The 24,506-nt window shown below is 42.8% G+C and overlaps 1 protein-coding gene across 1 annotated transcript in view, besides 1 other annotated feature; it reads left to right on the top strand.

Annotated features, from left to right (window-relative positions):
* The window catches only part of ANKRD55 (ankyrin repeat domain 55), a 133,651-nt gene that overhangs the window by 46,500 nt on the left and 62,645 nt on the right, over window positions 1-24,506 (top strand). Inside the window, exons 3-5 of the mRNA NM_024669.3 lie at window positions 3,197-3,319; window positions 10,549-10,679; window positions 16,028-16,137. Coding sequence (NP_078945.2) covers window positions 3,197-3,319; window positions 10,549-10,679; window positions 16,028-16,137 — 364 coding nt within the window. The remainder of the gene's footprint in view (window positions 1-3,196; window positions 3,320-10,548; window positions 10,680-16,027; window positions 16,138-24,506) is intronic.
* Window positions 7,075-7,369: a silencer, noted in NCBI's record as "tiled region #5241; HepG2 Repressive non-DNase unmatched - State 24:Quies, and K562 Repressive DNase matched - State 9:DNaseU". NCBI's record gives its function as "represses a minimal TATA promoter and a strong SV40 promoter by Sharpr-MPRA in HepG2 and K562 cells {active_cell/tissue: HepG2 | K562}" and the evidence as "EXISTENCE:reporter gene assay evidence [ECO:0000049][PMID:27701403]".

The raw sequence follows: 24,506 nt of genomic DNA, 5'->3' as shown, positions 1-24,506 counted from the left end.
CCTGTTTCTGGGCCCTATTTCTTGTGCCCAAATATACTGTGAGAAATCTTAACAAAATGTCTAGAGTCCTAGGAAGGTTCCTAATGGGGACTAATGTTCTGTGCAATGTATGGACTTTTTGTCTAATCATCATCAACAAGAGACTATTTTCTCTACATGTCCCAGATTTCTAATGCTTTCTAAACGCACCAAAAAAAAATTTTTTAAGTAGCAGTAGTCACAGCAAATATATACACTATTATATGCCAGGCCTTGTTCTAAAAGCACACAGAATTAAATATTAATTCATTTTTTTCCTCACAACAAACTTATAAGAGAGGTAGGTAGTTATCCTAATTATCATCATTATTACCTTCATTTTAAAGACAAAGAAACTGGCCAGGAACAGTGGCTTACGCCTATAAATCACAGCACTTTGGGAAGCCAACATGGGAGGATCATTAGAGACCAGCCTGGGCAACATGGCAAAACCCCATCTCTACAAAAAATACAAAAATTAGCTGGGCGTGGTGGTGCATGTCTGTAGTCCCAGCTACTCAGGAGGCTGAGATGGGTGGATCACTTGGGCCTGGGAGGTCAAGGCTGCAGTGAGCCAAGATCACGCCACTGCACTCCAGCATGGGTGACCCAACGAGACCCTGTCTCAAATAAACAAACAAACAAACAAAAACAAGGAAACTAAGGCCTGGAGAGGGGACGGTCCAAATCCACACAGCTGGTCAGTGCAAGCTGATACTGAGGTTGTCTGCCTCCATAGTCCTTGCGCTCATCACAGGAGTGGCATTTGACCTGGACACCCCTCCTCTTTCACTTCTGGCCCCCAGGCAAATGTGCAAGTGAGTCTGACTAAAACAAACAAACGAAAACAACAAAATACTACTGTGAGTAAGTTAGGGAACAACTACTCACTTTACAAAACAGTTTGTTGTCATAAGTGAATCATTTCCAATAACAAGTTCCTTTGGGGACAGACAGGTCAACCGGCACTTATGACTTCCCAAAAATACTGGGACAGAGAAACCGAGGCAAAGGGTTAGGACCACTGCCAACGAAAGATCAATTCGAACTGAAAACTAAAAAGTATCTTTGACATAATATCCACATTAGCAGAAAAACACAACTTAAAAAAACCTTTTTCTCTTTTTTTACTTTTTTTTTTTTTGAGATGGAGTTTCACTCTTGTTGCCCAGGCTGGAGTGCAATGGCGCCATCTGGGCTCACCGCAACCTCCACCTCCCGGGTTCAAGCAATTCTCCTGCCCCAGCCTCCCGAGTAGCTGGAATTACAGGCATGCACCACCAGGCCCAGCTAATTTTTTGTATTTTTAGTAGAGACGGAGTTTCTCCATGTTGGTTAGGCTGGTCTCAAACTCCTGACCTCAGGTGATCCACCCACCTCAGCCTCCCAAAGTGCTGCGATTACAGGCGTGAGCCACCACACCTGAACAGTGGCTATGCTTGAGGGGCAGAGGAGGCGTGCATGGGAGGAACGGTGTGAGTTGATCAACACAGCCTCTCCCTGGAGGCCTCCTCTTGAGCAGAACTCACCTCCCAGTCCTCCCCGTTCTCCACTTGACCCACAGTTCTTTTGTTGTTGTTGTTTTGTTTTGAGACAGAGTCTCGCTCTGTCGCCCAGGCTAGAGTGCAGTGGTGCAATCTCGGCTCACTGCACCCTCTGCCTCCCGGGTTCAAGCAATTATCCTGCCTCAGCCTCCCAAGTAGCTGGGATTACAGGCACATGCCACCACACCTGGCTTATTTTTTTGTATTTTTAGTAGAGACTGGGTTTCTCCACATTGGCCAGGCTGGTCTTGAACTCCTGACCTCAAGTGATCCGCCCGCCTCGGCCTCGCACAGTGCTGGGATTACAGGCATGAGCCACTGCACCCAGCCCCACTTGACCCATAGTTCTGTTGTCGCCTTTCTTTTTTTTTTTTTAAGACAAGGTCTCACTCTGTTGTCCAGGCTGGAGTATAGTGGCACAATCATAGCTCACTGCTTGAACTCTGGGGCTCAAGCAATCCTCCTGCCTCGGCCTCCTGAGTACCTGGGACTACAGGTACCCACCACAATGCCCAGCTAATTTTTAAATTTTTTGTAGAGAGAGGGTCTCACTGTGTTGCCCAGGCTGATCTCGAACTCCTGGGCTCAAGCCATCCTCCCACCTCAGCCTCCCAAAGTGCTGAGATTACAGATCTGAGCCATCATGCCTGGCCTGATGTTGCCTTTGACCATGCTATTAGTTGGTTCAGGCATGCACAAGGCATAATGCAGGTGGCTACCAAATTCAAAGGAGTTGCCTACAGTTCTGTTTCTTCTGGGAATGCCCTCTCATGAAATCTCAGGTGGTTGAAATGAAGAGACTTTCATGAAGGGACAGCTTGCAGAGATGACGCAGGGCTGAAAGAATGAACTAGGGATGCTGAAGCTCCACAGACTAACATCAGTGGGAAGCCAATCCCATCCTTACAGCTAAGAAGGATGGGAGGGGACCATTTTATCAGGGAACCCAGAGAGACTGACTCTGCAGAGGAAGAGACTGGCTCTGCCAAGAAAGAGCCTCCTGTTGGGAGAGAAGTGGCTCCTGCCGAACACGGCACTAGGGGAAGGCAGGAAGAAATGTCCCATCTCTCTCTTCTCCCCATCAGGCTCCTGCCCGTGCCTCTCATGGGCAAGCAAAAGGGTGAGGGAGCCTGGGTGGAGCACTCGGCAAGGGTCAGTCCTCAGGGTACAGAATAGGGTGGGAAAGGCTGCCTCACCCTCCACATCTGGAGAACGGAGAATGGAGAGCACAATGTCTCTTTGAAAGGTAGTAAACTGAGTTATTGGGAGGACAAGGAACATGTTCCAGATCAAAAAGGGCAATGCAGAACCAAGATGAGGGCCCCACTTCCCACTTTCCTCTCTGGGCTCCCTGGCTTCGAGAAGCCTGAATGCCTGGAAATAATCAGAAAATCTCAAATGACATCCAATCCCTCAGGTTCCTTTCCAATACACGGCGGTGTTACAAATGGCATGAGTGATCCACCTTTCTTCAGAAGTGGTGAGGGAGTGTGTAGCCAGGATGACCCAGACTTCTGCCTGGATTCACTTGAGAAGTTTTAATGAATCACTTGTGTGGGTGACGACTTGGGTATTGTTATTCTTTCAGTGAACTGGCTCCACACACTAACATTGTGTCTGTTTTATGCATGAAGGTGACTCATCTGAGGAAGTTGACCTGACCATGGTTTATCAAGCAGCCTCTAATGGAGATGTCAATGCTCTGACTGCAGTGATTCGGGAAGACCCTTCTATCCTAGAATGCTGTGACAGTGAAGGTGAGATATGTATGCATTTTGAATCCAGAATGTTCTGCTCTATTTTTTTAGAGATGGCCTTCAGACATGAGCAATGTTAATAAATGTATATCTGACCAGCCATTTTGATACTGTGCCTATGTGCAGGTACCACATCGCCTCTTATAATGAAGTCATCAGTTTGAGTTTGTTTTCAATATCTTTGTATGAATGACCAAAATAGATAGGTCAAGTAGTTAGGAAAAGGTACGGAAAGAGCAGGCTACTTTTGGTAGCAATGGATGTTGAGAAAATGTAACTGTAAAAGGCAAAGAGCAAGGATTTCTGCTTCTGGGAAGATGGAGTAGATGCATTTCTTTGGTATTATTTCTGCTAAATGCAACTAAAAACCCTGGACGTTATATGTAAACATAAAAAGACTCTGGAAGATGAAGATAAAATGACAGATGAGCTGAGATCTTCTGACTCAAGGAATGACATGGTGTAAGTGCCCAGGGTTTTCTTCTTGCCTTGTCTCTCCCAGAGCTGATGCTGAAGAAGCTGGCAACCCAGAAATGTCAACAGGCACAGACCAAACAGCAAGAAAAACAACAAAAGCCTTCTCTCTCTGGCAAAAGGACCAGGAAAGAAACAGCCTAGAAAGACAGAACACTTTTTAGACAATAAGTCCCTACTCCAGCCAAACACCACAAAAAGCCATGGGGCTCCAGCCCCACTCGTTCCAGCAAAGACTGAGTAGGAAACCTGGATTTCTAATGCCACCTTGCAATAATGAGGTGGCACCCCTTTACTTCCCCTTTACAGCAGTGCCCATGGAAGCCAGCTAAAATAAAAGGTTTAAGATCAGGAATCTCATAATATAATACCCCAAAAGTCCAAGTTTCAATCAAAAATCACTCGTCATACCAAGAAACAGGAAGATCCCAAACTGAATGAAAAAATAATCAACAGATGCCAATGAAAGAGATGTTAGAATTATCTCACAAAGATTTTAAAATAACCGTGACAAAAATGCTTCAATGAGCAATTGAAAACATGCTTAAAACTAAAGAAAAAAATAGAAAGTCTCAGCAAAGAAATAAAAGACATAAGGAAAAACCAAATGAGAATTTTTAAAAATCAAAAATACAATCATCACAATGGTAAAACTCAGTGAATAAGCTCAGCAGCAGAATGAGGATGCAAAGGAAAGAAGTAATGAACTTGAAAACAGAACAGTAAGAAATAGCCAATAAGAAATAGGTAATCTGAAGAGCCCTATAATTAGGAAATTGACTTCATAATTTTAAAATCCCCCCCGAAAAAGATATCTCCAGGACTAGATTATTTCACCAGAGATTTGTGATCCTCCCACCTTGGCCTCCCAAAGTGCTAAGATTATAGATATGAGCCACCTCACCTGGCAGATTTCTACAAACTTTTAAAGAATAACCAGCATCGATTCCACATAATCTCTTCCAAAAAGAAGAGATGAGAAAACACGTTTCAGTTATGTTTATGAGCTAGTATTACTTCACTATCAAAACCAAAGACGATGTAAAAAAAAAATAAGCCTATAGACCAGTGGTCTTCATGAATGTAGATTTAAAAATCCTTAACCAAATATTAGCAAATAGAATTCAGTAATATACAGAAATAGGCCGGACACGGTGGCTCACGCCTATAATCCCAACACTTCGGGAGGCCGAGGCAAGCAGATCACTTGAGATCAGGACTTGAGGTCAAGACCGGCCTGGCCAACACGGTGAAACCCCGTCTCTACTAAAAATACAAAAATTAGCTGGGTACGGTGGCATAAGCCTGTAATCCTAGCTACTGGGGAGGCTGAGGCACGAGAATTGCTTGAACCGGGAGGCGGAGGTTGCAGTGAGCCGAGATCGCACTACTGCACTTCAGCCTGGGTGACAGAGCGAGACTCTATCTCAAAACAAAAACAAAAAGAATATCATACACCATGACCAAGTAGGGTTTGTTTTAGGGATGTTAGGGCTGTAAGACTGGTTCAATATTTGAAAGTCAATGTAATCCACCGAATTAACCAACTAAGGCAGAAAAATCACATGTTCATATCAATTAATACAAAAAAAGCTTTAGACAAAATTTAACACATATTAATAATAAAAATCTCAGAAAAATAGGAATAGACGAGAGCTTCTTCAACATAAGGAAGAGTATCAACAACAACAACAACAACTCTAGAGCTAAGGTTTTACTTAACGGTGAAAGTTTGAGTGCTTTGCCCCTAAGACCTGGAACAAGGTGTGAATGTCCACTCTCACCACTCCAATTCAGCATAGTTTAATATGAGTGCAAAAGGGCAAGAAAAGGAAATAAAAAGCATACATCTTTCATTTTTTACCCAGACTGGGGTGCAGTGGTGCAATCTTGGCTCACTGCAACCTCCACCTCCCGGGTTCAAGCAATTCTGCCTCAGACTCCTGAGTAACTGGGATTACAGGTGCTCACCACTGCTCCCAGCTAATTTGTGTATTTTTAGTAGAGACAGGTTTCACCATGTTGCCCAGGCTCTTCTCAAACTTCTGACCTCTCAGGTGATCCTCCCACCTTGGCCTCCCAAAGTGCTGGGATTACAGGTGTGAGCCACTGGCCCGGCCAAAAGCATACATCTTGAAAAGGAAAAAAGAAAACTATTACTTTTTGCACAATTTGATTGTCTTCATAGGAACTCCTAAGGAACCTACCAACATACTCCTACAACTAAGTGAGTTCAGCAAGGTCACAGGGTACAAGACATAGATTTTATTTTTGTATACAAACAATGAACATGCAGACATCAAAATTTTAAACCATAATACCATTTAAAATCACTCAATAAAAAGAAACATTTAGGTGCAAATACAATAAAATATGTACAGAACTTGTATGTTGAAAACTATAAAGTGCTAATTAAATAAATCAAAGATCTTAATAAATGGAAAGGCATACCATGTTTGTGGACTAGAAGGCTCAACATAGTAAACATGCAGTGCTCTTCAAATCTGTGTACAGATTTAGCGCAAATTCTGAAGAGACATCTTGGCATGAGATGGAGACCACAATTTCTACCAAACCCCAGCAAGATTTTTTGTGTATATAGACAAGATTAGCTAAAATGTGTATAGAAATACAAAGGAACTAGGATAGTTAAAACAATTTTGAAAAAGAATAAAGTGGAAGGAATCAGTATACCCAATTTCAACTACATTCAAGCTACATGCTATAGTTCGAATGTGTTCCCTCAAATTTCATGTGTTGGGAACCTGGTCCACAATGCAGTATTGTTGAGAGGTGGAACCTTTGGGAGATTATTGGGATTAATCCACTCATGGGTCATTGTGGGAGTGGGTTAGTAATCATGGGAGTGGGTCTGTTATAAAAGCTAGTTTGGTCATCTCTCATGAGCTCCCTTGCCATGTGATACCCTGTACCACCTCAGGACTCTGCAGAGAGTTCCCACCACCAAAAAGGCCCTCACCCAATATGGCCCCTCAACCTCGGACATCCCAGCCTCCAGAACTGAAAGAAATAAAATTCTTCTCTTTATAAATTACCCAGTCTCGTGTATTCATTTACAGCAACAGAAAACAGACTAAGACAGTATAAAAATCAAAACTAGCTAGGTTAATCCATCTAGAGTATTCAAAGTTATGCCTGATACATAATAAACACTCAATAAATACAAGCTATTATTGTTGCTTTTGGAATTTCATAACCTTACTGTAATTACTTTGCACCACCCAGGACAAGACAATGAGTCTCGAAGTGGCTAAGTTTCTTAGCCAAAGTTTCATAGCTAATAAAATAGTTGGAACTGGAACCCAAATATTCTGTGTCCTTGGTTAGTGCTGTTTCTGCTCCTTATCTTGTAGTGCAGATGTCTTAAAGTTCTTGAACACTTTACCATGTGGCAAAGTGGATCATTTAAGGACGCAAGATGCTGAGGCTACCTTCCTGCACACCTTACCTAACCAAGTTGCTCCACCCTTTATTTTGCAGAATTTAACAATTTTGACAATTTGCAATCTTTTCCTTGGATTTTTTTAAAGGAAAAAAGTTACAGAGCAGTTGAAGGCCCTTTTTATTCTTTTCTGATTCCACCCCTTTTCCCTTCATTCCTCTAAAATAACTAACCGCTATTCTGAAGCTGGTGTATATCTTTCCTTTTTCTGTTTTTGTGCTTGAACTATTTTTCCTGGGTTTATAGCAATCTGTTGTTATTTTGATTTATAAAATTTACATAAATAATAGTGTGTATCTTTGCAATTGGCTTTCTTCACTCAAAATTATGTCTTTAAGATTTATTCAAGTGGATCTGGATTAATTTAACTCAGACATTTTAATTGCTCTATGACACTTCTTTGCATAAATATAATTTATGTATTTCTCTATTAATGTTCATTTATGCCATTTCTTGTTAGTTTAGTTCTTCATTATCATCTTTGATTATATCTCTTTGTTCATCAATGTGAAATTTTCGTTATGAAATAAACTTGGAAGTGGAATTACAGGGTTATAAGGTATAAGCACCTATGATTTTATTAAATGTTGCCACATTTATCCCCAAAAATGGTTGTCCCAACTTATACTTTAACCAACAGTATGTAAGAGTTTCCCAAATCCTTGACAACACCTGGCATTTCAGATGTTTTATAATTGCTAATCCGATATGTATGAAGTGGTTTTCAAGTTTCACAACAGCTTTGTTGAGTTTTTATTAGACTTGCAATGAATGTATAGATTCATTTTCAGGAAATTGATAGCTCTATTATATTGAGTCTTTTCCTTCATAAACATAGTATCTTCCCATGTTTAGTTCTTCTTTTATGTCACCCAGTAAGTTTTATACTTCTTATCCACATAAGTCTTGCTCTTCTTTGGTTAGATTTATTCCTAAGTACCGTATTTTTGTTGTTGTTGCTTTTGTTTTTTGTTACTTTTCCTATTGCTTTTGTTTAAGGAAGACCTTTTCTTTTATATATGAATTTTACATACAGGAACAATGCTGTACTGTCTTACTTGTTTTATTTTGAGGGTTTTTTTTTTTCTATTTTCTACAAGGACAAATGTACCAACTTAAAATAAATTTTGGAACCCCATTTGGAGATAAATCTGTCATTCCTCCCTAAACCTCAGTTAGAGACACCTCAGGAAAATTATTTTAAACTTAAGAAATATTTGGGCCAGATGCAGTGGCTCACGCCGGTAATCCCCGTACGTTGAGACATTGACGTGGAAGGATTGCTTGAGCCTAGAAGGTCAAGGCTGCAGGGAGCCATGATCACACCACTGCACTCCAGCCTGGGCAACAGAGCAAGATGCCGTCTCAAAAAAAAAAAAAAGAAAGAAAAGATTTGTTCAGTAATCATTTGGTTATGCATTTCAGAATTGCTGTTTAATATCTTCCCGGTACCAGGTACAGTGGTTGGTACCGAGGATTCAGTGATGAGCAGGAGAGATGTGGTTCCTTCCACTTCGAATTATAGCTTAGAAGAGACAAATTTTAAACACGTGATTATGCTCAATCAATACATAATTGTAAAATATTAAAAGAATTACTAGAGAAAAATGAAGGATGATGAAAAATTATAACATGGACATCCAGTTCACAATGGAGGGTCAGGAAGGTGTTCCCTGAAGAAATTTATATGTAAGCTAGGCTCTCAAGATAGATGTAAATTAGCCAGACATAGCATGTAATTTTATGAAAACAATATCTAGGGATTCTGTTTTTGTTTCTTTGTGTGTGTGTTTTTTTTTTGAGATGGAGTCTCACTCTGTCACCCAGGCTGGAGTGCAGTGGCACAATCTCGGCTCACTGCAACCTCCACCTCCCGGGTTCAAGCAATTCTCCTGCCTCAGCCTCCTGAGTAGCTGGGATCATAGGTGCGTGCCACCATGCCCGGCTAATTTTTTTTGAATTTTTAGACAGGGTTTCACCATGTTGGCCAGGCTGTTCTCGAACTCCTGGCCTCAAGAGATCTGCCCACCTCTGCCTCCCAAAGTGCTGGGATTACAGGCAGGAGCCACCACACCCGGCCTATCTAGGGATTCTTTAGCTTTACTTACTGAGCATTTCAGATTCACAGATTGCTTCAATAATTGCCTTTTGCAGCATGTCCTTTTTTTCTCTCAATAGTTATAATTACCACTTGTTGACAGGAAGAAAGGAAGGGAGGAAGGGAAAGGAAGGAAATTTTGCAACTATTTTAAGACATAGCACTTCATTGCTGCTTTTTCCCAGTACAGATGACTGAAAGAGTTTCAGAAGGAAAAAAATTGGAGAGAAATTGAGTTGCCGACTGCAACTCAATTTCTGGTGTCCTAGGGACTGCACTGCAAAGCTCATCACTCCCTCCAGGCAATGTTCAAATTCAAATATTAAAGAAAACTTTGGCAAAAGGGACACTTAGAAGTTAAGACTCAGCCACAACTCTGAACTCGGTGTTCTTTCAGTGAAAACAGAAATCTTGGGATTTACCCTTTCTTGGGGATTTCTCAGGGTCATAGCTTGCAGTTCATCTGGAGAAGAATCACAATCTCCAGTCCAAAGACATCTACACAAGTCTCGACTGGGCAAGGAGTGAATCTGAGGTTTGAGTTCTTCACCTGAAGGAATAAGAAGCACCTGGATCCTGCTTCATGAGGCTGGCTTGTTCCAACAGCCCTGCAAAGTTCATCAAAATGTGTAATTTCATCTCTATTTTTATTCAGAAAGAAAACACATAAAAAACTAAATGCCTTGACCTATATTGATTCTGAAAACAGAGAAGCATTTCAGTACAGGTGGCCACTTTTTCAGCAAGAGTTTGTGCAATCCAAGGCTGGGTACTGTTGCTGCCCCTTAACACCTGCCACCCCCTATAAAAGTGTGCTGAACCCATCTGCCTAGATAGAGCGGCTTTCCAAAGGCACTCCTAGATTCTACATGGTTCAAGCCAAGTCAGGATAAATCTGCCTGTTATGTCTTAAATTATGCTGATCCCTGACACAGTCATAAGCAATTTTTATCATCTACCCAAAATGTTTTACTCAGCCAATTATTGCAAAATTGCAGAAGATTGAAAAGAGCCAGTAAAAAAAATACATAGTTTATAGAGATGTAGCAACAATCAGCTTCATCTCCCTTCAGTCCCATACAAACAGCTGGGTTTGTATTGCAAATAGCAAAATAAATGAACAGGCCAATAAAGCCTGCTCATCAGTTTCATGGGTCACACATGTTTAAAGGCTGTTGAAATGTCTCATTCCAGGATGCACGCCCTTGATGCATGCGGTTTCTGGACGTCAAGCGGACACAGTGAAGCTGCTGTTGAAGATGGGAGCCAATATTAACATGCAGGATGCTTATGGCCGCACAAGTTTATGCCTGGCCACCTACCTGGTACTGACTTGTGCCTGTCACAGGGTGGAAGGAGCAGGGTAGGCGAAGGGTGTCATTATGGGGTCCCAGTTGCAAAGGAGCATTCTTGGATCTATGCAGCTGGCTAAAGGAGCTGGAACTTGAAGCTTTACTCCAATCATCTTCAACGTTTATATCCCCACTTAGAGTTGGTTTCATGAATTTGGGCCATTTTGGATCTTCCTAACAATCCTCTAAGATAGAGGTGATATGGCCATTAGGGAAACATTCTTTTCTATCTTAATGGCATCAGAATTTCTCTTGGGATATTTCTGGACACACTTGGTGCTTCTAAAAACAATCTCCCTAAATAACCCCAACAGGGTGGGAATACTGTGAAGATCCAATTAACATCTGTGGGGTAGGATTGGTTGAGTAGAAGCTTGAGGCTAAGGAATGTGGAGAACAACGAGAACTGGGGAAGGTGGTGGGAGGGACTGGAAGATAAAGAACAGGGGAGACAAAGCAGGCTCTTAAAGGGACAACGCCAAGCAGATGACTCAGCCCACAATCAGGGCTCAATTTAACAACTGTGTCATAATACTAGTCCTCACCGGTAGAGATTTCAGTTCAGCATTTCCCAACATTAGAGCAAGCCTGGTTAAGCCTTACTGAAAATCCTCAAGACCCTCTCCTCTCAAACTCTTCCTGCAATCCTTTTGGGAGGTCCTAGGGGTGCCTTGAGTCCATGTCAAACAAGTCCTAACCACCACATGGAGGTCATCCTTTTTCTTCCTCTCCAGAGAGGTACCCAGAAATCTTCACTATGACCACCATTGCTACCAGTGCAGCTTCTTGCATTTGCTATGGCTTGCATTTGCTATTGCTGCCCACTGATGGTGGTGAATTCACTCTGGACCAGCCCCATTGAGGGTGTCCTGCTGAATTAAATCACTTCCCTTTCCCAAACACCACCCCTTTCTGCCATGACCTATCATAGATTGCAATGAAGCATTGCCCAAGTCTCACAGAGATTTCCTTTAGAGCCTACTTTTTCATTTTCTATTTGTGCTCTCTCTCTAGAACTCACATGCAAATCTGGGAAGAAATTTTCAAACTGTGGTCCACAGATCTTTTGTGTCAATATCCCTTGGGGTGCTTGTTTCAAATGCAAATGCCAGGCTGGTCTGATGGTAGAGGGTTATCAGAACTTATTCACATTAGTGTCAAATGCAGGTACCAGGGGTATACCCTAGACCTTCTGAGTCAGATACTCTGGGAGCAGGACTGGGGTAGTTGGTGTTGGGGGAGTCTGCATGTTGAACAAACCTCCTTGGCAATTTTTTTTTTTTTTTTTTTTTTTGAGACAGAGTCTCACTCTGTCACCAGGCTGGAGTGCAGTGGTGCGATCTCAGCTCACTGCAGACTCTGCCTCCCAGGTTCAAGCGATTCTCCTGCCATAGCCTCCCAGGTAGCTGGGACTACAGGCATGCACCACCACACCCAGCTAATTTTTGTATTTTTAGTAGAGACAGGGTTTCACCATGTTGGCCAGGATGGTCTCGATCTCTTGACCTCATGATCTGCCCGCCTCAGCCTCCCAGGCGATTTTTAAAAACTTGCCCATCAAGTTTAAAAGCCACTGGTCTGTGCATATTAGCCGAAGTCCCATATCTCAGACAGACATATGGCTGTCCTCCTAGCCCCCTCCCTTCTAGCACATGCCTTAAGAACTGCTCTTGCTATGGACTTTTCCAGTGTCTGAGCTGAAGAAAAGAGAAAACTGGGATAAGGGGGTAGAGGAAGGGCATAGAAGGGGTTTCTAAAGTTGACTGCCACTAGCAAATAGAATGTAGTGAAAGCAAACTGTCCCCCTTTCAAAGTTCAAAAATTCAAAATTTTACATTTCTTTGACTAGAGAGCTATGCAAGGGACTGGGAAGAAGTACTCCTCTAAATCACGGTGAATAATGATGGACACCCTTGGAGCCTGGAAAGTTGACACCTTTGCAGACAACTCTTTCTAGGAATATATTCTAAGGGCTGCATGAGAAGAGTCTGCCAGCAGGACACCATGTGGTGCCACCTTTTTAACTCTGCCCCCATCTCCCTGTGGCTCCCCAAGGCAGGACCCTCCATTGTTCTGCTGGGGCTCACGGGAAGCAGTTGTCCTGGGGACTGCACTGTGAAGCTTATCCCTCCCTCCTGGCAATGTTCAAATTCAAGAATTAAAGAAAAATGTCGCAAACGGGACACTTAGAAGTTAAGTCTCAGCCACAACTCTGAACTCAGTATACAAAAAAACCTTACCACAGATGTGTCAAACTCAAATAAAATATGTAGAGTTGAGGCCAGGCACGGTGGCTCACGCCTGTAATCCCGCTACTTTGGGAGGCCAAGAGGCTAGAGGATCACCTGAGGTTGGGAGTTTGAGACCAGCCTGACCAACATGGAGAAACCCTGTCTCTACTAAAAATACAAAATTAGTCGGGCGTGGTGGCGCATGCCTGTAATTCCAGGTACTCGGGAGGCTGAGGCAGGAGAATCACCTGAACCCAGGAGGAGGCGGAAGTTGTGGTGAGCCAAGATATATATATATATATATATATATAGAGAGAGAGAGAGAGAGAGAGAGAGAGAGAGAGAGAGAGAGGCGAATCTCTACATTTAACGTATTATTTGATATATAAGAATTGGAGCCGGGCATGGTGGCTCACGCCTGTAATCCCAGCACTTTGGGAGGCCGAGGCAGGTGGATCACCTGAGGTCAGGAGTTCCTGACCAGCCTGGGCAACATGGTGAAACCCCGTCTCTACCAAAAATACAAAATGTAGCCAGGCGTGGTGGCGCATGCATGTAGTCCCAGCTACTTGGGAAGCTGAGGCAGGAGAATCACTTGAACCCAGGAGGTGGAGGCTGCAGTGAGCCGAGATCGTGCCACTGTACTCCAGCCTGGGCGACAGAGTGAGACCCTGTCTCAAAAAACAAGAAAAAAAACAATTGCAATTCAGGGCATACACACAGACCAGGTGGTCCTCGATATGTCCAAAGAATGAAGAGGAAGTTGTAGGTTTTATTAGAAGGAGAAATGTTACATATTGTTTTTCCAGAAAGTTCATTGGCACTAGTCGAGTTTTGGGGAGCTGGCAAGCTCTGACTGGTGAGTGACCATGGTGGGTAAAATTTGTCTTTGAGTTGCAGCAGGTTTTTCAGAAGCCATTAGATAAAACTAGTTACTACAGGCAGTTTCAGCAGCCAGGCTCACAGCTAATTGCATTTTGGGAGCAATGTTATGTGCCCTGCCTGCTTTTTTTCCCTGACTTCTCAACTCTGGTTTAGTAGTTGGATACAACAAGAAGGACCCAATTCAAATGATCAGATTTCACAGGTGTGTGACGTTGGTTAGGCAAATCACTGTATCTCTTTGTGCTTTCTCCTTCATTTGTAACACGTAATAAAAAAAAAATGCCCATCACAGCTGACAATTAACACTTGGGGAATCAGCCAGCACATAGTAGGTATCAAACTCATTTGTTGGTTCTTAATAGTGACTGACCAAGGGTTTCAGATAGTATATTCAATGGTTTTCTTCTTTTTATCTTCAGGAAAAAAAAAATCAGAAAACCATTGACACACACAGAGTTCCAGGAAATGTTGCAATATGATTTTTAAAAGTGTTTCAAACTTTCCCCCACCAAAAGATCTGCTTTTCGAAAACTGTAAATCTTTGGCAACTCTGAAATTTGCCCAGCATGCCTTTCTTTTGGGTCTCTGAGTCTCATTTCTTTTAATCTGAGAACTTGATGATTTAGACATTAACAACTAGAAACAGATTTAATGCATCAGTAAACTATGACTCAAGACTGGAAATGCCAGAAAAATACTTGCTTCTACTTAAGACTTAGATATTAATGGTCAATTCTACAAAATCATATTCAATATTTATACTCTGAATTTTGATGCATTTTTGTTGATTTTCCTTCCAGACTTTTCAAAACCAAAAGGTTCTTTTCTTATCATTATCTTCCTTCTTCTCCATGCATTTATTAACATTTTGATTTTTTTTTTTTTTTCTTGAGACAGAGTCTCGTTCTGTCGCCCAGGTTGGAGTGCAGTGGCGCGATCTCGGCTCACTGCCAGCTCTGCCTCCCGGGTTCACGCCATTCTCCTGCCTCAGCCTCCCGAGTAGCTGGGACTACAGGCACCCGCCACCATTCCCAGCTAATTTTTTGTATTTTTGGTAGAGATGGGGTTTCAACCTTGTTAGCCAGGATGGTCTCGATCTCCTGACCTCGTGATCCACCCACCTCAGCCTCCCAAAGTGCTGGGATTACAGGCGTGAGCCACCCTGCCCAGACAACATTTTGATTTTTATTGCTTTCAGTATAAGGAGGAAAAATCTTCAGTCATCTTTCTCATTTTACTGGATAATTTTGAGGTTTACCTAGACGCGAATGTAGGAAGGTGGGAAGCCTGCTTCTGAACAAAATAGAGGGTTATCCTATTATTCTTCATAATAATAATTTCATCTATTTTTAAGTATACTTATAATTGGGCAAATAACCCAAGCCATTCTGGATGAACGTAGGAGACATCCTCTTTAGCATGCGAGCCAAACTTGGTTATCAATAGGTATGGGTCAGTTAAAGTAGCATGGGAGGGAGGGCTAGCCTGAAGTTATACCTGCCCTTTGAAATGGGAAAGACAATGAGAAGATGACCCAGCAGTAAATGTTGACCGAGGAGGAGACAAGCATGAGATGTGGCCATATCAGGTCTCAATCTAGACAACTGTAGACAGCAGGTTTCAGCAGTTCACGTAAAGTTTCTTGAGGACTTTACAGGTGGATAAAACATAGCAATGGGAAACCTTTGGAAGGTGCTGGTGATGCCTTATATTTAGGAATTCAAGCTTTCAGCATCAGAAAGATCAGTCAACAAGGTGGCAGGGTCCCAGCCATTGCAGTGGAGCTCAGGTTAGACTGCTAGGCACTGGGAGGGGGACTGACCTGAATAAGCAAGGTGCTGTCCTTGTGGTTACTAGAAAAGGAGCTTGCAATAGAAGACCAAGGCCCATTTATCATGTGTCTGAGCTTATACATGTAATACCAGTGAGTGGCCCTAGAAATGGGGAGGGGGAGATGGAGAGATTCTAAGGTCAGTCTGCATCTAAAGGGGAAAGGTCCTCTCATAAACCTGGGAATCTGTACTTCAAGACCTTCGGCCATCTGTTGAGGCATCTAAGATGGAGTTGTGGTTCTTAACCACTTCAAGTCAAATAAAATATGTTTTTAACCAAACCAGAGAAAGGGAAAAAAATCTAGAGAAAGTTTGTTGGACCATGTTACGTGAGCTTCTGTTATATAATGATGTGGTTGCTCTTGTATTTCAGGGCTGGCTTGAAGGCTGTGTGAGTCTACTCAGAAACGGTGCCAAGCACAATATCCCAGATAAAAATGGCCGCCTGCCACTGCATGCTGCCACTGCTGAGCCCGATATGAGGTAAGTGGCCAGGTTTACATGATGCTCAAGTTGGGAGTGACTCAACTTGTATGAGAAGGTCATCTAATCCATCCCTCTGTGGCTGATAAAAAAAGAAAAAGAAAACCATCTTTTTTTTTTTTTGAAGTTGCAGCAGATAGGACCACAACAAAATATTCTAGAATAATTTCAAATTCTCTCCTCCTACTTTGATAAAAGTTTTGTCTCCTAATCTTTAAGAAGACATGCTGTTTGTCATTATCAGAATTCATATATTCATTCATTCCATTAATCAGTCAGTCAATTATGCATTCAACAACTATTTTTCGAGCACATGTTATGGACCAAGGACTGTTCTAGTCCTTTGAAATTCTACAGTAAATAAAACAGAGTCTCTGATGTCACAGAGCTTATATTCTAGTGAAGCTCTTAAGCATACCAGTTAACAAATAAATAAGATCATTTCTAATAGTGATGAGGGCTATGAAGAAAATTAAATAGGGCAAAAGAGCAGTGACTGGGCAGAAAGGTTAATGTCTAAACCCAGGGCCATGCCAGCCTCTAGGAGCTGGGAGGAGGCAAAGGAGTCAGCAGCAGGGAGATCAGGGGGTTAGAAGGAAACCAGAAGTGTGTGCTCCTAGAAGCCCTGTGAAGAAATACACTGAAGTAAATTGGATGATCAAGAAGGCCACCTTTTTGTAAGATAACTGAGCAATGAAGGAAAAGGTTTTGTCCATACCAAGGGTAGCTTCTCCATTCCTCTGTGTCTACATGGCCTCGGTCCCCATTCTTTAGAAAGCCCCTCAGAGCAGTTGCTAACAGCATTTCTACTATGGAATCAGTAACATGGTGGACCCTTTCTGCTGTGCAGAACATGCCTCTGACAGGAATTGAGCATTTCCAAGCCTAGGTCATAGGCCAGCAGCACAAGGAGTATATTCTATATACTTCACCCTCTCAACTCTGTGTCCAGAACTAAAACCTGAAGCCCTGTCTGGGTTGAGGAGCCCAAGGCCATAATCTTCCAGGCTGAGGAATAACAAGATTTCTTTACTTCAATCTCTTTTACAGTAAAATAAAAGGTCCTGGGAAATTCCAGGACTATTCCCAAGGCTTGACTCTTATTATATTGGACTATGTCCAGAAATAACAGAAAACTAGGATTTACCCAAAGCCCAACAAAACAAGGATGTTTAGAAAAGGAACAGCAAACCCAGACAGTTAACAATCAATAGACATCGTGAGGGGATGACTCCCTCTTGATGAATTAGGAAAAAAAAAAAAAAGAATGACCCCACAAAAATGCTTAGTCACAAAATCATACTGTTTTCCCAAGAGTGGTCTTTAGAAAATAACTTTAAAATGTACCTTTTCTGTTTCTTCTGTCTTAATTTACTCTACGTAATTGCTTTTACTTGCCTCACTCAGAGTGGTCATTTCAAAACCTATTAACTGATTCTGGAAGATTAAAAGAGCCCATTTAAGTTATGGTAATTATGGCTGTTGTAACACATAAAATCCAAAGCTTCAGTGTTTTAACACAATAAAAATTATTTCTGGCCAGGTGCCATGGCTCACACCTGTAATCCCAGCACTTTGGGAGGCCGAGGCAGATGGATAACCTGAGGTGAGGAGTTCAAGACCAGCCTGGTCAACATGGCAAAACCCCACCTGTACTAAAAATACAAAAATTAGCCAGATGTGGTGGTGAGTGCCTGTAAGCCCAGCTACTCAGGAGGCTGAAGCAGGAGAATCACTTGAACCCAGGAGGCGGAGGTTGCAGTGAGCTGAGTTTGCACCACTGCACTCCAGGCTGGGCGACAAAGTGAGACTTCGTCTCAAAAAAACAAAAAGTTTATCAGACATGTAACCATCCAATGTAGGGGGGTGGTAGGTGGCTCCCTGCCACATGGCAATTCAGGGACCCAAGCTTCTTCCATTCTGTAGCACCTTCATCCCCTAAGAGCACAGAATGCCCTTCATTCAGCCTGCAGATGGGGAAAGAGGAGAACAGTAGTCTCCCCTCACCCTGGAGGGGATATGTTCCAAGACCCACATCGATGTCTGAAACCTCAGATAGTACCAAAGTCCATATATGCTATGTTTTTTTCCTCTACATACATACCTATAAAATTTAGCGTACAAATTAGGCGCAGTAAGAGATTAACAACAATAATAATAAAATAGAACAATTATAACAATATGCCAGTATCACTACTCTTGCACTTTGGGGCCACTGCTAAGTAAAATAAGAGTAATGTGAACACAGTGCTGCGATACGGGGACAGCTGATTTGTTAACCGAGCTGTCTCCTAAGTGACTAATGAGAGCGGAGTGTAGTTAGCGGCAGATTTCATCATTCTACTCAGAATGCCGCACAATTTAAAACATGAATTGTTTATTTCTGGAATTTTTCATTGAATGTTTTTGAACCACAGTGAACTGTGGGTAACTGAAATAATGGAAAGCGAAACCGCAGATTAAGCAGGGACTACCCTATAGAGAAGCCACACTCAGTTCTTTAAAACCTCAGCCTGCAAATGACACAATTCATTTCTGCTCATATTCCATCAATAAGGACTAGTCATACAACCACATCTGGTTATAAGGTGCTCTGGGGAATATAGTTTCTAGCCAGGAATCTACCTCCCAACAATGCCTCCAATCCAAGAAAGGGGAACATGGATTTTGGTGAAAAGCTCTCTGTCTCTGTTCTTAACCCATTGCACCTAAGGGGTAAACTAAGCCTTGTCAGTCAAAATTACATTCAATGTCAATTGGATCAGTTGATTAGGTTCATTCTCTGAAATCACTGCAATAATAAATTGAAAATCAACCCAAGTGTACTTCCTCTTTGTGGACTTGTGTTTCTATTTCTTATTATGCTTATCAGTACTCCTCGACTCTTGAGGATCTACATTAAGTTGCTATAACTAGGAGAGCAGAGAGTTGTGGCTTCCCCTCTCTTGAAACTGTACCTAACAGCCCAGCCACCACCCTTGGATGAGTTGAAATAAGAAAAATAAACATCCTTCTGTGTGCAGATGACGTAGTTAGTTATATTGTCCAAAAAGCCCTTAACTGATTCTGAAAGATAAAATTCTGCTTTAGTTATGGCAATGCTAGCTGCTTTAACTAATAATCCCAAAAAGTTAAGATTGACTATTCCAAAACCAAAATTGTTATTTCTGGTAAATGCTCTCCAAAGATTAATTGGGTTAAGTCCTAACAACCATACAGCAAATCAAATAGAGTCACACGCTGCATAATGACATTTCAGTTAATGGCAGACTGCATGTGTAATGATGGTCCCATAAGATGATTATATCATATTTTTACTGTACCTTTTCTATGTTTAGATACATAAATACTTACCACTGTGTTACAATTGCCTACAGTGTCTAGTACAGTCACATGCTGTGCATATTTGTAGCCTAGAAGCAATAGGCTCTACCATATAGCATAGGTGTGTAGTACGCTCTACCATCTAGGTTTGTGTAATACACTCTATGATGTCCACACAATGATGAAATCGCCAAACGACACATTTCTCAGAAAGTATTCCCATCATTAAATGATGCATGACTGTAGTTTGGTTACCTACAGAATATTGGAAACTAGTCCACCCTAAAGGATTCCCTATGGAATTACATTGTTAAAATTACATATTTTATAGTTGTTTGAGAAATTTTAGGTCCATGGCAGAGTTTGATACATCTGCATTAAATGTTTAAAGTAGAAACCGAATTTATTTTAATGGCCATATTTTGACATTAAGCCCTTGGTCTCCGTTGAGAAGCCTTATAAGAAACAGTCTTACAAAACTTCCTGGCTCATGATTCATTAGCACCTCCGAAAAATTCTATATGAGAAACCACAAGAAATATTTCTACTGAAGAAGGAATTGCTATGCTGCTCCTGATAAATCATTTTTTTTAATTTTACTATACAGACACTGTGACTTCAGAGCATGTTTCTTTCTTTATATATTTAGAAAATTCAAAACTCAATTTGTGTCCCACCTCTGGCATACATGTAGGACTATAGATCATGTCTTTTTTTTTCCTGCCCGTGTTTTCTCTTTGTCTTGTTTCTTCACTCGTTATCTTATTTCACCATATTTGTCTGAAAACAATCTAAAATCCCTGAAGGGGCCAGGCATTGTGGCTCACACCTGTAATCCTAGTGCTTTGGGAGACAGAGGCAGGAGGATAACTTGAGGCCAGGAGTTCAAGACCAGCTTAGGCAACATAATGAGGCCTCATTTCTAAAAATGATTTTTTTAAAAAAGTAGCCAGGCATAGTGGTGTGCTCCTGTAGTCCTACCTATTCAGGAGGCTGAGACTGGAAGATTGCTTGAGCCCAGGAGTTCGAGGCTGCGGTGAGCTATGATCGTGCCACTGTAATCCAACCTGGGCGACAGCACAAGACCCGAAGGAAGGAAGGAAGGAAGGAAGGAAAGAAAGAGAGAAAGATAGAGAGAAAGAAAGAAAGAAAGAGAGAGAGAGAGAGAGAAGGAAGGAAGGAAGGAAGGAAGGAAGGAAGGAAGGAAGGAAAGAAGAAAGAAAGAAAGAAAGAAAGAAAGAAAGAAAGAAAGAAAGAAAGAAAGAAAGAAAGAAAGAAAGAAAAAGAAAAGAAAGATCCCTGAAGGGTGGCCAGGAGTGCCAGCTCATGAGTATGAGTCAGACTGACTGAGTTTAAATCTGGCTCCAGCTCTTATTCTCTTGGGCAAGTTAACATGTCAAGGCTCAGCTTCCCCTTGAAATAAGTACTATTTTTTTTTTTGAGACAGAGTTTCACTCTTGTTGCCCAGGCTGGAGCGTAAAGGCGTAATCTTGGCTTACCACAAACTGCGCCTCCTGGGTTCAAGCAATTCTCCTGCCTCAGCCTCCCGAGTAGCTGGGATTACAGACACGCACCACCATGCCCGGAAAATTTTGTATTTTTAGTAGAGATGGGGTTTCTCCATGTTGGTCAGGCTGGTCTCGAACTCCCAACCTCAGGTGATCCGCCCACCTCAGCCTCCCAAAGTGCTGGGATTACAAGAGTGAGCCACCACACCTGGCGAAGTAAGTACTATTAAATATATTATTCCTGCTTACTTCACAGGGAAGTAGGCAGAAGTAAAGGAGAAAATGTGTGGAAACGCTGAACTCAGCACCTAGTACATTGTCCGTGTTCAGAAAGTGAACATGGTGATGATGATGGCGTGATGATATGATAATGTTGATGGTCATCAATGATGATGATGATGGAAGATAGAAAGAAACACCATAAACATTATAAGAAGCTAAGGAATGAAACACTACTACTGCCACCCCACTGGTGCTCATCCTGGCCTTCTTCACCTCAGCACACTCAGGTCCACAAAAATGTGTGCACAGACACAGGCCCATGTAAATGCAGTCCTACATCCTACTGCCGGGCACACAGGTTTACTGCAATGGTTGTTGGGGTGTGTTGTTTGTGTGGATCTATGCACACCTTTGTAAACTGGCATATGTCTGCATTTTCCCCTAATCATAAACAGTATGTACAGGCCACATAGTGCCCTTGTGCTCAGGTTTTTATACTGATTTAAAATCTGCTAACACTTAGATTTCCAAACAGCAAGCTCCTTCTATTTGGTGCTCACTGGAGGTTATTCAGAGAGAAGCCTCAAACCGAAGCTGCTTATAAACAAGCTAAGGGACGCTTCAATTAGTCCTTTGCCTCCAGAGGGATTTTAGTGCTCAGATGGAAACAACTCCTGAACAAACCAAACAGTATGAATCTGCATCCTTAACTAAACACCCGCTCAATGGGGATGGAGGCTGATGCAGGGATAAGTGATTTATAATCATGAACGTGAAGGCACACTGGGTTTACAAAAGCAAAGATGCACAGGTTTCCTCTCATGATTCCCCTTCCTACTTTGAACCCTCTGCTTCTCAGCAGGTCCAAGTTTTCCCCCTTTCAGCTCCCCAAGGCTTTTCTTGCTTCCTTGGCTGGGACATTCAGAGGGCGCTGGTGTGAAAGAGGGGGCATGATCATTAAAACAAAGCTCCAAAGAGAACAGAGTTGTGTTTGTACAACGCTGCACATGCTAGTGTTGGAAGGCAAGCAGCAATTTTCTCTGAAAGCAGCCACGGGGCTCTCTGAAGGTCTTTTTCATGGTCTCCATGGCTACTGGCAGACTTTTTTTCCTCCCTGTCAGAGTGCCAGCCACTCTGCCTCTTTTCATCACTCTTGACTGCAGCCCAAGGGAGGAAGAAAATCATTTCCTTGGGGTCCTGTTCTCTAGTTACCAGGTGGTGTGTTCTGACCTGCAGTGTTTGTCTCACTGCAGCACACTCTAATACAGGCAGCTCCAGGGACAGGAAGGGGAGACGGCTGGTTGTGGGACCATTTTTTCCCACCTGTCACTGCGCTGGCCAGCTCCAGGGCTGGGAACATTCAGAGGGGCCAGCGAAACAGGAAAGCTCATAGGGATGAGTTGTCCCCAGGATGCTTCTAGCTGATCCTTCTCTGAGACCCACCATTCACCTAATGATAATCAGTGGAGACCCAGAAAATAGAAGGTAGGAGCTATTAAAAAATTAATCATTTTATAGAATTTTTTGTTTGTTTTTTGTTTGTTTTGAGACAGAGTCTCAAGCTCTGTTGCCCAGGCTAGAGTGCAGTGGCATAATCTCGGCTCACTGCAACCTCCACCTCCCAGATTGAAGCAATTCTCCGACCTCAGCCTCCCTAGTAGCTGGAATTACAGGTGCCCACCATCATGCCTGGCTAATTTTTCTATTTCTATTACAGACGGGGTTTCACCATGTTAGCCAGGCTGGTCTCAAACTCTTGACTTCAGGTGATCTGCCCACCTTGGTCTCCCAAAGTGCTGGGATTACAGGCAGGCGTGAGCCAGCGCACCTGGCCATATAAAACTTTATTATGGCATGTAAGGGCTATTCCAAGTGCTTTGTGTGCATGGAGTCAAAGTCATGACAGATCCTGAGGAAGTAGGTATTATTCTCTGCATTTTATGGATAAGAAAATGTAGGCACTGGGAGCTCGCCCAAGGTCACTGGCTGGTTGGTATGGAGCAGGGATTCTAACAGTGGCAGTCTGGCCCCAGCATCAGTGCTCTTATGACTCAACACACCACCTGTCTGGGACTGCTCTTGCTGGGGTCCAAGCCTGCTGTACTGGCACCTGAGATGAGATGGGTCTTACATCACTTACTCAGAGATCCGAGGACAGGAGGGAGTCTGAACTTGGCTGATGGGGGTGTAGAATGACTCCTGGGCCATGGTAACACAAAATGAGAGCTCGGGGGAAGCACAACAGAGGGCTGCAAATCATCTAGGAATTGACATAGATGCTGGACAAGTATCTCGCAGGTCACCTCCATACCACAGAACAGCAAGGAAGTCCCAGGCTGGCAATGAGACACCTGGTTTCTGGTTCAGGCTGTATCACTGAGCCACTGTATGGTGGTCTTGGCAAGCCAGGAAGGGCCTCAGGTTCTTTGTTCTCACAACATATGAGAGACAGCCAGAGCCAGAGTGAGGGCAAGAATGCAGGAGAGGGCCTTGATCTGTCTATTTGTGTCCAGCTTTGACGATCAATGGATCTCAGAGACTTCACAGTCAAGTGGAGTTGGGCCACATAGATCATCACATATCAGTCACAGCCATGACAGAGAAGACATGGGAATTAAAGGGTGGCAACTGGAGAAAGTCTAGGGAAAGACTATTTAAACTTGACCAACAAGGCTGGATAGGGTGATTCACGCCTGTAATCCCAGCACTTCGGGCGGCTGAGGATCGTTTGAGTTCAGGAGTTCAAGACCAGCCTGGGCAATATAGTGAAACCCCATCTCTACTAAAAACACTAAAAAATTAGTTGGGCGTGATGGTGCACACCTGTAGTGCAAACTACTCTGAAGACTGAGGCAGGAGGATGAATCGCTTCAGCCCAGGAAGTCCAGGTTGCAGTGAACTGTGATTGTGCCACTGCACTCCAGCCTGGGTGACAGAGTGAGAGCTTGTCTCAAAAAAAAAAAAAATTGACCAAAAATTGACCAACAAGAGATGATGGTTGATGTTCTAACCCCCTACCCCACCCCCACTTTCCCCAAAAGAGCAGGAAAATGTTATCACTTTCTAGACCTAAAGGGGCAAGGAAGGGGCTGTTACTGGAAACTTCTGAGAGCTGCAGTGGTAGCTTAGCTGTAGGAGAGGGGCCACCTGGCAAGAACTGAGGCCTTTGGTAGAGAAATACAATTATTGCCAGAAAGGGAGCTGGCTTCTCTCCCTCCTCCTGCCAGTTCCCCCATCGGCAAAACCCGATAGGAAGCCAAGGGCAAGGGAGCCTGGTTGATGCGGTCCCTAGAAGTCAGCCTCAGAGCAGGGCAG

This window comes from Homo sapiens, chromosome 5, assembly GCF_000001405.40.
Source record: "Homo sapiens chromosome 5, GRCh38.p14 Primary Assembly".
NCBI classification, from domain to species: domain Eukaryota; kingdom Metazoa; phylum Chordata; class Mammalia; order Primates; family Hominidae; genus Homo; species Homo sapiens.
This window is presented reverse-complemented; position numbering and strand designations above follow the sequence as displayed.